General features: G+C 40.0%; 1 protein-coding gene across 11 annotated transcripts in view; it reads left to right on the forward strand.

Annotated features, from left to right (window-relative positions):
• Positions 1-14,178, forward strand: part of GHR (growth hormone receptor) — a 298,440-nt gene that overhangs the window by 137,121 nt on the left and 147,141 nt on the right. For 10 of the 11 annotated variants that reach the window (NM_000163.5, NM_001242460.2, NM_001242400.2 and 7 more), the window contains one exon: positions 5,305-5,385. In NM_000163.5, the coding sequence (NP_000154.1) occupies positions 5,316-5,385 (70 nt within the window). In that variant the 5' untranslated portion in view covers positions 5,305-5,315. Of the gene's footprint in view, positions 1-4,901; positions 5,386-14,178 lie in introns of those variants that run through there. The other variant, NM_001242406.2, reaches the window with a different exon arrangement.

Here is a 14,178-nt window from a genome sequence, read left to right on the forward strand (position 1 = left end):
CATTAAATTCACATGATACTCCTCATCTCTATTTAGCTCTCTCTCACCTCCAGTAATGACCTCCCTTGTCTCTCAGTCTTTGGTCTCTTACCTTCAGCTTCCCACTAGCCGTTTCTCACATTTCCAAAAGTCTTGTAATTGCCTTAAAACACCAAGTATCCAAAGCAGTCCTATGACCTTCTCCTCCTGCTAACCAACTCAGATCCCCAAATCCTGATTTCTTTCACTAGCACTATCTCTCATCCACACATACTCAGTTATTTGTGATAGACATGTCTCTATCATCTCTCATATCCAATCATCACCAAATCTTATCAATACTTCTCAGTGATATTAAGTTAAGAAGTCATGAAGGGCGGCTGTACCCTAAGGAAAACCCACTTTTGCACAAATCTGAGTTTCTGATCAATCTGAGTTCAGAATGCTGTTTTAATCTGGTCCTACCTCGCCAATCTAATTTTAGGCCCTTTTATTCGTGAATTTGAACCTTGTTCTCTATTCACCAGCTTCCTCAGAATATTGTCCAAAACATACTCAGAATTCATACTCATATCCAGAACATTTGCTCTGAGCTTTTACCATACAAGTTCACCACAGTTTCTCTCCCTTTTCCATATCCACCAAAGCCTTATCTGTCATTTAGTTTTAATTTTAAGCCCTTCAGTTTGATAGCTGATTTTTCCCTAGTCTGACCTTCTATTTTCGGGTATGCTCCTTCTTTTCACAGTTTCATGTGTTTGTACTGCCTTATTCTTGAAGAACCATTATTTTGATTGCTTTTGCATTAATCTCCATAGTGCCTTGCTCAGTGTTAGCAGGAACTAGTAGTTTAACAAATACTTGCTAATTCTAAATTAAAGAGCATGAAACATATTGTTTTCTTTGCCTGGAGTTGGTTATAGCATGCTGGAAAAAGTATTATATCTAACCTTCATCTTTTCTCATGTGTTTATGAACTGTTTTATAGCCAAAGAATAAGTTAGTATATCATGGGCCTAATTATGTAATTTGGAGGCCTCCTCTGCTGGGCAGTCTACAGATTTAAAATTCATGCCAGCTGCATTACGCTGGTTTTGAACTTGCTTTTTCTTGAGAAAGATGGGGAGCAGACAAAATGCCTCAGGCTTTGAGGGTAGAAATGGTGTGAGTTCCATTATGCAAGAATAGAACCCCATTTTTTAATCCCTCCTGCTGAAAATCTTGCCATGAGGCTATAGCCAAAGAATGTGTAAATATCAAAAGAAATTTAGAGAGGGATTTTCCCTAGGAAAATATTGCAAGCTTAAAAAACCCAGTGGGCTAAGGTCCAATTTAGTAGATTCCTCCGAACAATGCCATCCTCTACTTAGATTGTTACAGAACTTCTTATGACAGCATTTGAGTAGACTCCTGTACCTCTGGGTTAAAAGGTACATGTAATAAGTTTAGGTACCTGGGCAAAAAGGGCTTGGCAGAGGGGAATAGAGGGACTTTCTTATTCTCACATCTAGTATATCATTACATTGTAATGTTAGATAACATTAAAGTTCCAAACTTCATGTGTCCGCACTCTGACGTTTCCTAGGGACATTTTGTCTCAGCTAGAATCTAATAGAGAAGGATTCCCTCATCTAGAAGCTTCCATATGGGGCTCTGTGAAGATGATGTGGACAGTGTACAATCCAATTGAATGTCACGTCTCGTGGCCTGGCTCATGTGAGGGCACTAGAGAGAGTTCTCCAGAGGAGTGCAGATGGGGCTACTTTTGGAATCATTCCCACTGAGCCAACATCAGTGGAAGAGAAGGGGAGGAGTTAGATTCTAATAAAGCCCTTATCTTCTGCTGAATCCATCCACATTTTTTTATCCTCCTCCTGGCCCCTGCACTTAGTTAGAGTCGGGTCCCTATGCAGTGTTCCAGGCGGCAGTGAACTGCATTCACCTCCTGTTTGGGAGCATGGCAATTTTAAATACTTTTTTCTGCTGTAAGAGTATGCAAACAGATTTCTGGTTAATTTTGTGTTGAGGATTCTTGTTTGTTTTTTGTTTTGATAGAGCACATTCTATGGACATATGTTCAGCTTGTAAAGGAAGTGTTATAGTTCCTTTTTTTTTTTTTTTTTTTTTTTTGGAGATGGAGTCTTGCTCTGTCACCAGGCTGGAGTGCAGTGGCGCGATCTCGACTCACTTCAACCTCCACCTCCCTGGTTCAAGCGATTCTCCTGCCTCAGCCTCCCGAGTAGCTGGGATTACAGGCATGCGCTGCCATGCCCAGCTAATTTTTGTATTTTTAGTAGAGACGGGGTTTCACCATGTTGGCCAGGATGGTCTCAATCTCCTGACCTCACGATCTGCCTGCCTCGGCCCCCCAAAGTGCTGGGATTACAGGCATGAGCCACCACGCCCCACCTAGTTCTTTATTTGGAAGAAGTGAAGTTCATTTGCAGGCAGCTGCTTTCAAAAGTTTGGGGATTGGAGGAAGGTCATCTTCTATTCAACTGAAGCAAATGCCACTTGTTTGTGGCATCTGCCAGGCATCCTTGAGATGTCTGAAGAGGTGACTTCCAAACCAGAGGATGCAGCCTTCCGAGAAATGCAAACCTGTTCACATTCTTGCTCAGATGGGAAGCAGAAAAGGCTGCGTGGGAATTGGGGATTTACTGTTATACTCTGGCATTGGAATAGCAGGTGCTACTGGAAACTTCTTTACCTGACACTAAGTGTCTTGGGAGATAACAAGTAAAATTAACACAGCATCCAGTTCTTCAGTGCTTTCTCCACTTAAAAAGAATCAGGCTGGGCACGGTGGCTCATACCTGTAATCCCAGCACTTTGGAAGGCCAAGGCGGGTGGGTCACTTGAGGTCAGGAGTTTGAGACAAGCCTGGCCAACATGGTGAAACCCCGTCTCTACTAAAAATACAAAAAAAATTAGCCGGGCGCGGTGGCGGGCGCCTGTAGTCCCAGCTACTCGGGAGGCTGAGGCAGGAGAATGGCGTGAACCCGGGAAGCGGAGCTTGCAGTGAGCCGAGATTGCGCCACTGCAGTCCGCAGTCCCGCCTGGGCGACAGAGCGAGACTCCGTCTCAAAAAAAAAAAAAAAAAAAAAAAAAATACAAAAATTAGCTGGGCATGGTGGTGCACACCTATAGTCCCAGCTACTTGGAAGGCTCAAGCAGGAGAATCGCTTAAACCTGGGAGGCGGAAGTTGCAGTGAGCTGAGATCGTGCCACTGCACTCCAGGCTGGGCAACAGAGTGAAACAAAAAAAGAAAAGAGACAGAATCAAATGCAAAGTAAATATTTAGTTACCAACAGGATGGCATTTTTAGCCTATAACTTTTTTTCAGCCTTTTAATATATTTCTGCTGGAGGTTTCCAGCTTTGATTACATAGCCTGTTCACCTAGGAGTAAAGGACATTGGGAGGGAGAGATGCTCAGTGGTTCTCATTTGCAAAGTAGACGAGGATGATGAAAGGCCATCAGCTCAAGGCCTTCCAGGTTAGGAATTAAAAACATGAATGTTGTAAAAACCACAACTCATATTTATTTGAAATCTCACAAAGTGTGAGATTTATTTGAAATCTCACAAAGTGTGAGATTTATTTGAAATCTCACAAAGTGTGAGATTTATTTGAAATCTCACAATGTGTGAGATTTATTTGAAATCTCACAAAGTGTGAGATTTATTTGAAATCTCACAAAGTGTGAGATTTATTTGAAATCTCACAAAGTGTGAGATTTATTTGAAATCTCACAAAGTGTGAGATTTATTTGAAATCTCACAATGTGTGAGATTTATTTGAAATCTCACAATGTGTGAGATTTATTTGAAATCTCACAAAGTGTGTTCATCTGCATGTTTCTCACGTGAAATCTCACAAAGTGTGTTCATCTGCATGTTTACACTCAATCCTATGAACGACTCCATGAAGTAGTGTATGAAGGAGAGTTCCTCATGCATGTGGATTTGCACATGGGGATTCAGATACAAGAAGACAATTTAGTTTACATAGAGATGTGCTTTTTTAAAGAAATTTTTAAGAATACAAAATTATATGGAACAAAAAAGATAGGTCCTCTGCTGTCTAGAAATTAAAGTACGTCAAGAATTTTATCCCTATGTAGAATTACACAGCCATTGCCGGGGGCCACATCTGTAGGCCCATGGAAAAAAACATCTTTGCTCATTATTTCAGCCTGATTAGGGATACCATGAAGGGCTATTCCATTAGGTCAGGTTTGCACAGTAATAAAAATGAAGCCAGTAGAGGATCTCGTGGAGCTCCTGGTATGATGATAAGTCTCTGAGTAACTTGTAAATAGTGCAATTTTATGGAAATGTTGCAGCTAAGCTTTAAAGTAGTTGGCATTAGTTGTCAGACACAGCAACAGCTCTACAAAAGGCAATACGCTGAGTTCATTTTCAACCAGCCCAAACTTGCCTCAGAAGATCCGGGATGTGGACACCCTGGTATATTTTTTCTAGAAAAGCTTATTTCCTTCCTCCAGATAAAGGTGTATGGTCACTGAGGTGTTGTGCTGACAGAAGTGTTGATCTACTCTCTCCGTTAGACTGAAGGGCTCCAGGTGTGGCCACACTGGGCTTCTAAATGGCTAGCAAAGCCACAGACGCATCCCTCTTGGTGTCTGAGGTGTTCACATTCCTGGGTCTTTCAGATCTGTATTCCTCATGAAAATAAAACCTCTCTACGACACACTGTGTCCTTGTGGGTTTTTAGTTTTACTAGGGAGTTTTTGTTTCCTTTTGCTTCCCTCCTTCTTTCTGCTTCCCTTCTAGTTAAACCTCTTTAGGATGGCTCATTAGCAACTCGTTTTGAGTGGTTTGAGCTCTTTTGTTCACTGGGAAACAGATTTATGAAATGTTACTATTACCATGATTGTTATGTTTTTCCTTTTATGGCCTGTCCAGCTCAAGGCCCCATGCTTTCTGATACTGCTGATAAGGTTTTCTATTTCCAGATCAAATTAAAGCAAACCTTACTGGCCCTGTTACTGAAGCTGTGCATGGGGGTCGTTTGCTGTGAGGTGTTTCTATGGCTTTGAGCCAGGGTATGAACATCTCTAGTGTTCATGTTATTTCCTGAGACTAGCACTCACGGGAAGTAGAATTTATTACAACCTGCTGTTTGAGTTCATGAAAAGTAGGACAATATGAGACTCTGGGGCAGTGAAAGACTTACCAGGATTCCTTCTGGAACTGACTCGTCAGCTCATTCATGTCTTACCCAGTCTTTAAACAGTATTTCATGATAATGGTCTGCTTTTAATTGCTGGGCTTTACCTTACCCTTTTTGTGATTGCAGGTCCTACAGGTATGGATCTCTGGCAGCTGCTGTTGACCTTGGCACTGGCAGGATCAAGTGATGCTTTTTCTGGAAGTGAGGGTGAGTTCTGCTTTTCCATTTCCACCCTCAGTGTTTTGAAACAACACTGAACTGTATTCGCTACATCCAAGTTTTTTGGATGATTTTATTAAAAGATGCAAGTTTTACATAGCAGCAAAAAGGAAACTTGACTTAGCTTTAAAATCAGAAACTAGTAGGACTTTTCTGTGGATGTTTAGGAGGAATGCAGTAGTCAGTCAACTTTGGCATCTGATGTTTTCATATCAAAAATTAATACTACAAATCATGCTGAGGACATTTATGTTGAAGACAAGCCAGGTCTCTTGTTCTCAGGCTTTGGGAGAGATATTGAAATTACACTGAAGGGTTATTAGCTTACTGTTCACTCAGCTCATCTGTGACTAAGGATATCTAATCTATTTCCAGAGCTCAGAATTCAGGCTTGTTAATCATATTCTCAGAGAAAAGAAATTGCAGGTTTCAAATGAATTTCACTTCTCACTCTCTGGGTGATTACCATTTGGCTAAGTTGAGGAAAGAGACACCTGAAATAGTTGAATGATATACCCAGAAATTATGAGCTTCCTTCCCCATCTCTATAATTCTCCCTCCCTTTTTTATATCCCTCTCCTTGTAGAGAAGTCTCAATATGTTTAAACTATGTTTCATAGCAGACCTAACTAAAACAAGGAAGAGTAATAGAAGGGAAAGGGAAGAGGAACTTTTCTGTCAGAAAGAAAACTGTGCTCTCTAACGGGTGGGAGACTTTTTTTTTTTTAATGAGTACTTGATGTTTTTCCTTGCCTGGGCTTCTACAGAAGAAAGAAAGAATATATTTCTCCCATGCTATGACACTGAATTTAGTTGTTGCTTTAAGAGTGTCAGACTCCCCTTCTCACCATTCAGCTCATGTTGGAAAACACAGTTTAACAGCAGACTTAGCGCCTTAAGATGTCCTCCCTGACCTTCTAGCCAAAAATAAATCCGTAGTAGTGAGCTGCTGAGGGTGACCACAGTCACTTAGAAAATGAGAAGAGTAAAATATGTTATTTTATCTCTTAAAGCAATTTAAAAATATTTATAGAAAAGAGTCATAATTGTTGGAAATATTTTTTGGTCTCTCTGGCGTTATAATGTCAACATTATGCAAGTCAAACATGGAGAGAATTGCAGGCTCCATTTCAGCAGCTTTTCCCATGGCTGGTTTTAGACCTTGGTTCTGAGCCAAAGAATTGCAGCTGAGATCCTCTGCTGTTCCAAAGTCATGGTGGCTTAATCTCTCGTTTCTTCATTAAGGTGACTTTCACTCCACTGGGCAAGATTTGAGGAATTTAAAAAACTTGTGAAATGAAAAGTATGGCATAGGAAATCTTTAAAGAAAATTAAAAATGCATCCCCAGCTGAGAGATTAGAGCTCAAATTACATTTTAGAACTAGAAAGTCTGCAAGGAGCATCTGTTTCAGCTGCTTCGACATTTTACTAAAACTTTGAGTTCCTGAGTGAAGAGAAAACATCACTAGTTGCTTTTAATGTTTGCTTTTTGTTTTTCTTTTTAATAGTTTTGTTTGATTCATTTATTTGTTCAGGGAGAGCAGAATATAAGCAAATGCAATAGTTTATACTAAACACAAATCACATATCCTACCAGTACTTACGCATAAGAAGTAATTTAACAAAGAAGAACATTTTTGTCTCTTTTTTTTTTGTCTTATTGAACTAACCAATATTTCTTTTTCCTTTGGAATATGTGCATATTCCAGAATCCTTTCTTAAAATGGTCTAAGGATTAAGGATGGGGCATGATGTTTATGTAAGAAGGCATATGTAAGCACGTTCCAGTGTGTGTGTGCATGCTTGGCTCTGTGTGTGTGTGTGTGTGTGTGTGTGTGTGTGTGTGTGTGTGTGTGTTCTAGTTCTGGCCACTTATCTAATGAATGGGTTCATGGGTTCAGCCAAAGTTACTGCATAACATGACATGGGTCAGTCTCAGATAATATTTATGGACCATGTGTTTGTTTTTCTGCCAGGTCTGGATTGTAGCCAAATCATTTTATTTTTATTGTGTCTCCTATTGAATAAGGCAGACTAAAAATATAGATTAAATTTTTAAAAAGAAAAGATACTACTATTGAATTCAGTTTGTTCAGTGAAAGATGTGGCATTGATGGGTAAGTGATCTTGGAAGCATCACCTGGAGAAAAGTCACCCAGGAGCTGGTAGAAGATGACAGACCTGTATGCGTAGGGAAGGGTAGCACTTGAGCAGGGATTTTCTTGCTTGGGCAGATGAGCAATTAGAAATATACTGGCCCTGAAAGGATTTTTTTTTATTAAATCTAATTGCCCTGTGGGAAATTTAATGAGAACTAAATTTGAACAGTGCCGTTATTGTGTTAGCTAAAGTGTTGTAATAGATGTTTTCTGTCTCTCATCCTTAATATGAAGTTCTCATCCTTAATATGAAGCTCTATATCTGCTCCTCAAAGCCAGTTACATAGTCTAGAGGAGAATTTTTTATTCCAAAATCAGGAATGATCCACAATGCCTTGTTTTCAAAGGGCTTCACATGGTTGACCTATCAACTGATTGTATCAAAATTGCTGCTGCTGGAATAATGTTGCTAATGAGAAATGTGCATAAAGATCTAATGGATATAAGTATTCTTCCAAGGAGTGCCTGTTATAAATTAGGTCGTATATCTCTACTATTTCAATCAGTCTACCCTTGAATATACCCTTTGACCTCAGTAACCTAAGGTGGAAGTAAGCAAGCCCCTGCCTTGTAGTTCAGTCTAGCTGGGACATGAGGAATGTCTTGAAATTAATGAGAGCCTGTATACCTTTAAAGTCTAGATTGTGTGATGAAGAGAAATGGTCAAGATGCCCTGAAAAAGAATAGATCAAGGTGGACTAGAATAGTTAATTCAACAAATTCAGTGTACTGATAATTCTTAAGAGCTTCCTATTTTCAAAGCCTGCACCTATGGCTATGAGGAATACATTGATTCTTCCCTCAAGGAACTTTTCATGGGTTAATAAATCAGGCATGTACACCAAGAATTACAATATCAGGCATTGTATATTAACTATCAAAATGGCTTGAATCACACTTTATAGAAGTGATGATGACGTGAGGGATACCTCAGCTGTGGTGAATTACAGCTTCATGAAGGAGGTTGACATTGTTTCTCTAGAGACTAGAATGTCAGGTTTAAGATTTTAAAAGGCTGAGAAGAACAGAAGGCTATTACAGGAATAACTTATGTGATAAAGCAACAACATAAACAGAAGTGTACAGATGTAGATATGAGATGTCTATGGACAACAATTCATTCACTTACTGTGCTAGTCAATGGATGGTTCTATTTTATGCATTTAACATTCAACAAGCATTTCTTGAGCACTTACTTCGTGGAAGGCATAGGATTAATTTGGCCAGGGTGTGTGGTACATAGGTGCTATATTTGTAATTATTCCCTTTGGAAGCAAACTTAGGTCAGTAGGTTTGAGTCAAATTATAGAAGGCCCAGAGATAGCAAAGGCATTATGGAAAAGGCAAGACTTGCTGGGCCCTTGAAAAATCGGTAGCATTTGGAGAGGAAGAAAAGAAAGAGGAAGTGTATGCCATATCCAGCCAGTAATAGTCCTCAATATTGGAGGCCAGACAAAAGCGCTACCTGCATGATGGAATAGTGTGTGTGTGTGCATATGTGTGATATTCATATGTAACATATATAGTATCTACATGTAATATTGATATATAATATTTACATACAACATATTTATATTTGTATGTGTGTAATACATACACTATATGTACACATATACATATACATGTATATATATGTACACTATATGTATATAGTATATGTATGTGCACACCAGTGAGGTGTGGCTTGCAGGCAAAGCACATAATTGACATCACTCAAATTCTGCAAAAGGTGTTATATCATTCTGTACCATTCAAAGTAAGAGACTTAGGAATGAGATGCCACATCCTAAGGGAACCAAGAGCCCCAAAATAATTTTTTCTGTATATTTTGAACATTTTTCATAAACCTATGCACACTGACAAAACACTTACTTGAAAGGAAAGACACCCCTGTTCTCATTGCTATCAGACAGCAACAATTTATTTTTTAAAATAAACTCTATTCCACCACAGTTGAGGTTCCACAGAGCTCTGAGAGGATGTCAAGACATGTCAGATATATTTCACACAAGTATTAGAGTCATGGTTTCAGTTAGTAAACAGTAATGAATGCATCTGTTAAATGTGTTCAAGAATGAACACTTCAAGGCTTTCCATTCACAGTGAAGGTGGGGAAAAAAGCCACAGAGCTTTTGATTGCTGCTGTCTTCACCATAATCCAGAGGCAAGAAGAAATCTTATGGTGTGTTCTAGTGCAATGGCCTGCGTCCATGTACATCAGCAATCCTCTGTCCCCTTGTCCTCCTGATATTGCAGAATTTATTTGATGTTGGAGTTCAGCAGGTCACAGCAAGCTGGATTAATCTAGATGGTGCCAATGTAGATAATGACACATAAAAAGTCTTTCAAGAAGCTTTTATTAAGTCATTTTACAGATTCAAGGAGGAATTTCATGTATTTATTTATTTATTCATTCAATTTTGCATGCATGCATTTATTCATTTTTTTGTTTTAGAGATAGGAACTTGCTATGTTGTGCAGGCCCCAAACAGTTCTACTAGCTTCAAACAATCCTTCTTCAGCCTGCAGAGTAGTTGGCATTATAGGTATGAGCCACTGTGCCCAGCCCAAGGAAGAATTTTGAATGTATATTCCTGCTTTTAAGGAGCTCACAGTCTTTAGAAGAGAAAACAGAGAAATAAACATAATTTAATTGTGATCCTCTTAGATTATTAAAGGGTTTTAATCTAGGTAATAATACTGTTAGATTTTTACTTTGTCAGTAATACTAGTAATAGGATAAAAGTGAATTTGAAAGGGATGAATTAGAGGAGGAAGTTGATGACAATAGGTCAGGAGAGAGATAATCTAAGTGTGACAGGGATGATAAAAAATAGATGGATCACAAACACGGGGATGTTAAGAAGACAGAATTACCAGTACTCAGAGTCTAATTAACCTGTGGATTTTTGACTCGGGGAACTATCAGTGCCTTCTTTTCCATCCATTTCTAAGTTTCTGCATTTTTAATTAATGTGATCATCAGCAATGACTCACGTTTAATGCAGTGAAGTCCTGGTGCACAGTTCAGCCTATTAGCACTAAAGTGGCACTTGCACAGAACAACTCTGTAGGGGAGGAAACATGCTGAGGCTGGATGACAGCAGAGTGTCTAAGCTACGCTTCTTTTGTACTATTTCTCTGAACTCCTCATGCCTGTGTCTACCCTGGGTCCTGCAGCTGTCTGCTCAGCTCTGCAGTATGGCTGTGGTATGGCTCAGGCTACTATGCAGTGAGGGTCTACAGCAAGGACAAAGGTCTGAACTCCCTCCTCATTGTAGTCTCTGGACATGTGTGACTCTATCCCAAAACCTTGACAATCCCCCAGATATTTTGTCATTGCTAGAGTATGTACTTACTCATGGGATACAATAAAATATATGCAGGATGAGTTGAGAACAGCAGAGCCATGTGCTGGGCAGAGTCTGGGAGGTTGGTTAGGCTCCCACGGAAAATGAGTGACCTACCCCTACAAAGAAGCTGGCAGTGTGAGTGATTAGATTTGTGCCACAGCTAATTAGTAAATTGAAGGAGTGGGACCACCCAAGAATACTCAGAACCCTGAATGTTAGTTAAATTCACACATGCCAGTGATAGAGTATATTTCTGGTCTTCCGCCTTAGATGCCAGCTCTTACGGGAACAGAGCCAGTCCTGGTTATATAATAGAATGTTTCCACACCACTTTGGTTCAGTATCCTAAATTGTGGCTCTTGTTATGGGGTAGACAGGAATGAGGTTGACATAACGTATTTGGTGTTTGGTGATGGCAAAGAGTACCTGTTCATAGACACACCTGGTTGTCCACCTCTGGCTAGAGACCAACCCAAGTTCAACTGTGCAGAAGTCCATGTTGGCCTTTACTGGCCCAGCCAGCCTCTACCTGAGATCATTCCCTACAACAAGGGGCCCAGGATTCCTCAGTCACCCCAGCAGCTTTTCCCAAGGAAAACCATCTCATGAAGAATTTGCCATTGATGATTTTCTCCTCACTGTGCATCGAAGTCAATGGGTTTATTACTGAGAGTTGGTTCCTTTTAAACCTTAACCTTACACTGTATATGATATAGAACTGTAGGCAGGCCAGGGTCATCAATAAAGACATTTTTGGGGCCTCTACTTGGCTTGTAACCACCTGCTTATCCACAGTACTGTGCACCTAGCTTGTCATCAGGCAGAGTCACCAGCAGCCACAACAAAAGGGTGCACCTTCGTCTTTTCCAAGCAGCAGGCAATGTGGCTCCATTTTAACTTTTCTGGCAATACTCACATGGATTGTTAAATAATGCTGTCAACAGTGTCATCTTCAAACCCAAAGCAAACTTCCTCATCATCTGTAGTTAGCAGCATGAAGACGGTGATGATGTGTAACATAAACACACTTTGAAATCTGATGCAATTGACCCTACGAAGAGAGTATTCCTTAGTGCCCTGTCTGGCAACTTCTGGACAGACCAGGAGGCCTTGGGGCTTAGAGCACTTCTTCAGCCTCAGCTGCAAATCCATTTTTTCTTGTCCCTTGTTCCCAGGATGAAGCCACAGTGTTTCATCAGGTACATTTATCAGGAATCTCTGTTTCTGTTTATATAACAATTTAACTTAAGCCTCAACCTTCACAGTGTACGCATCACATTTCCATGGAAGGATTGCAGGTATTAGAAGATGGTGGATCATGTCTTAACCACAGGGGAAATGTTTCAGGATGTTTTTATAGAAACTTTCACTAACAAGCAGGACACAGGATTGGCAGAGAGGTGGGGGTAGGAGGCAGGTGAAGGGTGGCATTTGTTGTGTTTCCCTCTTCTAAATGAAGTTATAATGACATCTGTGTTTCAAGAGTGTGGCAAGTTTGGACTGAGCTTGAAATAAATACAGTTTAATTGGTTTCAAATAACTGAACAAAATGACCATTCCATGCCCTGTGTAATAAAATGTTATAGAATTAAAACTTATTAGACGTTAAAATCCATGAAGGATATTTTGCTGGATGCCCATCCTTCAGCATTCTGATGAGGATCTTCGTGTATTTGTTCAATGAATAAGTGAATCAGCAGCTAAATCCTGACCTTTGATTTCCTCAGTTCTCTCCTGCAATTGTCACTGATGCTCTCATCTCCAGTCCTGAGCAAGGCAGGAGTTGAATTAGTATCCCCTTATAGTGGGAGGGGTCTAGAAATAGCTGTGCCACTTTAGAAGCTAGGCTTTGTGGGCTTTTCCGGGGGATGGAATGATTTCATTTTCCTGCTTTCTACTCCACATACCACCAAGATCAGAATTCTGCCCTAAACACTAATGTGTGGGAGCCTGATGTCCTGCCTAAGTCTTGTCAACCTCTTTCCAGGTGACTGAACTCCGAACCCCATGCACCAGTCACTGGCCAACATTCTGCATTAAGTGACCCGGTCACCCAGCACCATCCCCCTGACACCACCTTTATCTCTACACCACCTGCCTCCTGCCTGATTAAATCTCCTCAAATATTGACAGACATAATGATACCTGAAGATCCCAAATCCAAATTTTCTTTGCCCCTTTGGACATTGAACTTTAGATTACAAAAGACCCTGACTAGGGATCCTGTGGATAGCTGAGTCAATTTTCTTAGCCCCATTCCTTAAATATCAAGTCTTTCTAATTTTCCAATGAGAGCACATGAAACTCTCAAGGTTAAAAGTCAATTTATATTAATAAAATCTTTAATTTCTTGATTTCTGAATATGAAAAAATGATACTTTGTGTATTTTTTAATTTTTTGGCAAAACCTTCCAAATTTGTGGAAAGAGAAATAATATTGACTACTGGATAACCATGTGCTATGTGTAAATATTAACGGATTCACCTTAGTGGGCACTGACTTGATGATGTTTGCCACATTATATTTTCCAGAGCCTTGGCTCTCCCAAAAAATGAGAGGTCATTTTTCAGGGGAGGACCATTTTGTGTTTGGCTAACATTTAGGACATATAATTTCTTCTCCTCTACATGCCACTGACCCACTGCATCCCTGGTTGGAGCAAGAAGAGCCATGCTTTCCTTAATAATAGCTAATGGTGAAAGGATGTGTTGTAACAAGAGCAGAGGAATAGGGAAACAGGAGAAAGACAGTCAGTTGAAGAGTCCTGCCCTGTGTCAGGGCACCGTTTGGCCAGCTGGGCTTGCTAGGAGTAGAATATAGAAAGTACATGAAGTGCCATACTCAGACAGCTCTGGCTACGTTGACAAACTGGTATATCATGGTGCCCAACTTTCTTTGTTAGCTGGGCCAGCATCATACCCTCTAGTATTTGCTCTGAACTTCGTAAGCACGGTTGACTAGCTTTCTTTTCCTCTGCAGTTATCATTCAGACTGAATAGTTTCTAAGAGGCTCTTAATGAGAAATAGAAGGAAGTAAGTTAACTTCTGTGCATACCTTGGCCATATTTGCTTGACAAACTGATGTGTATACTAAAGCCATTATGGGTGTGAAAGGCAAAAGTATAAGTGCTCCCCAGTATGACCTGGCTATTTTGTCTTACTTCTATATTTGATTGCTAAAAATATATGTTCTTGGGTCAAAAAACTCACTTTAAGGGAAAAAAATGGAAGAATATTAATAACCAAAATAGAAGAATATTAAGAACT

This window comes from Homo sapiens, chromosome 5 (genome assembly GCF_000001405.40).
Source record: "Homo sapiens chromosome 5, GRCh38.p14 Primary Assembly".
Classification (NCBI taxonomy): Eukaryota; Metazoa; Chordata; class Mammalia; order Primates; family Hominidae; genus Homo; species Homo sapiens.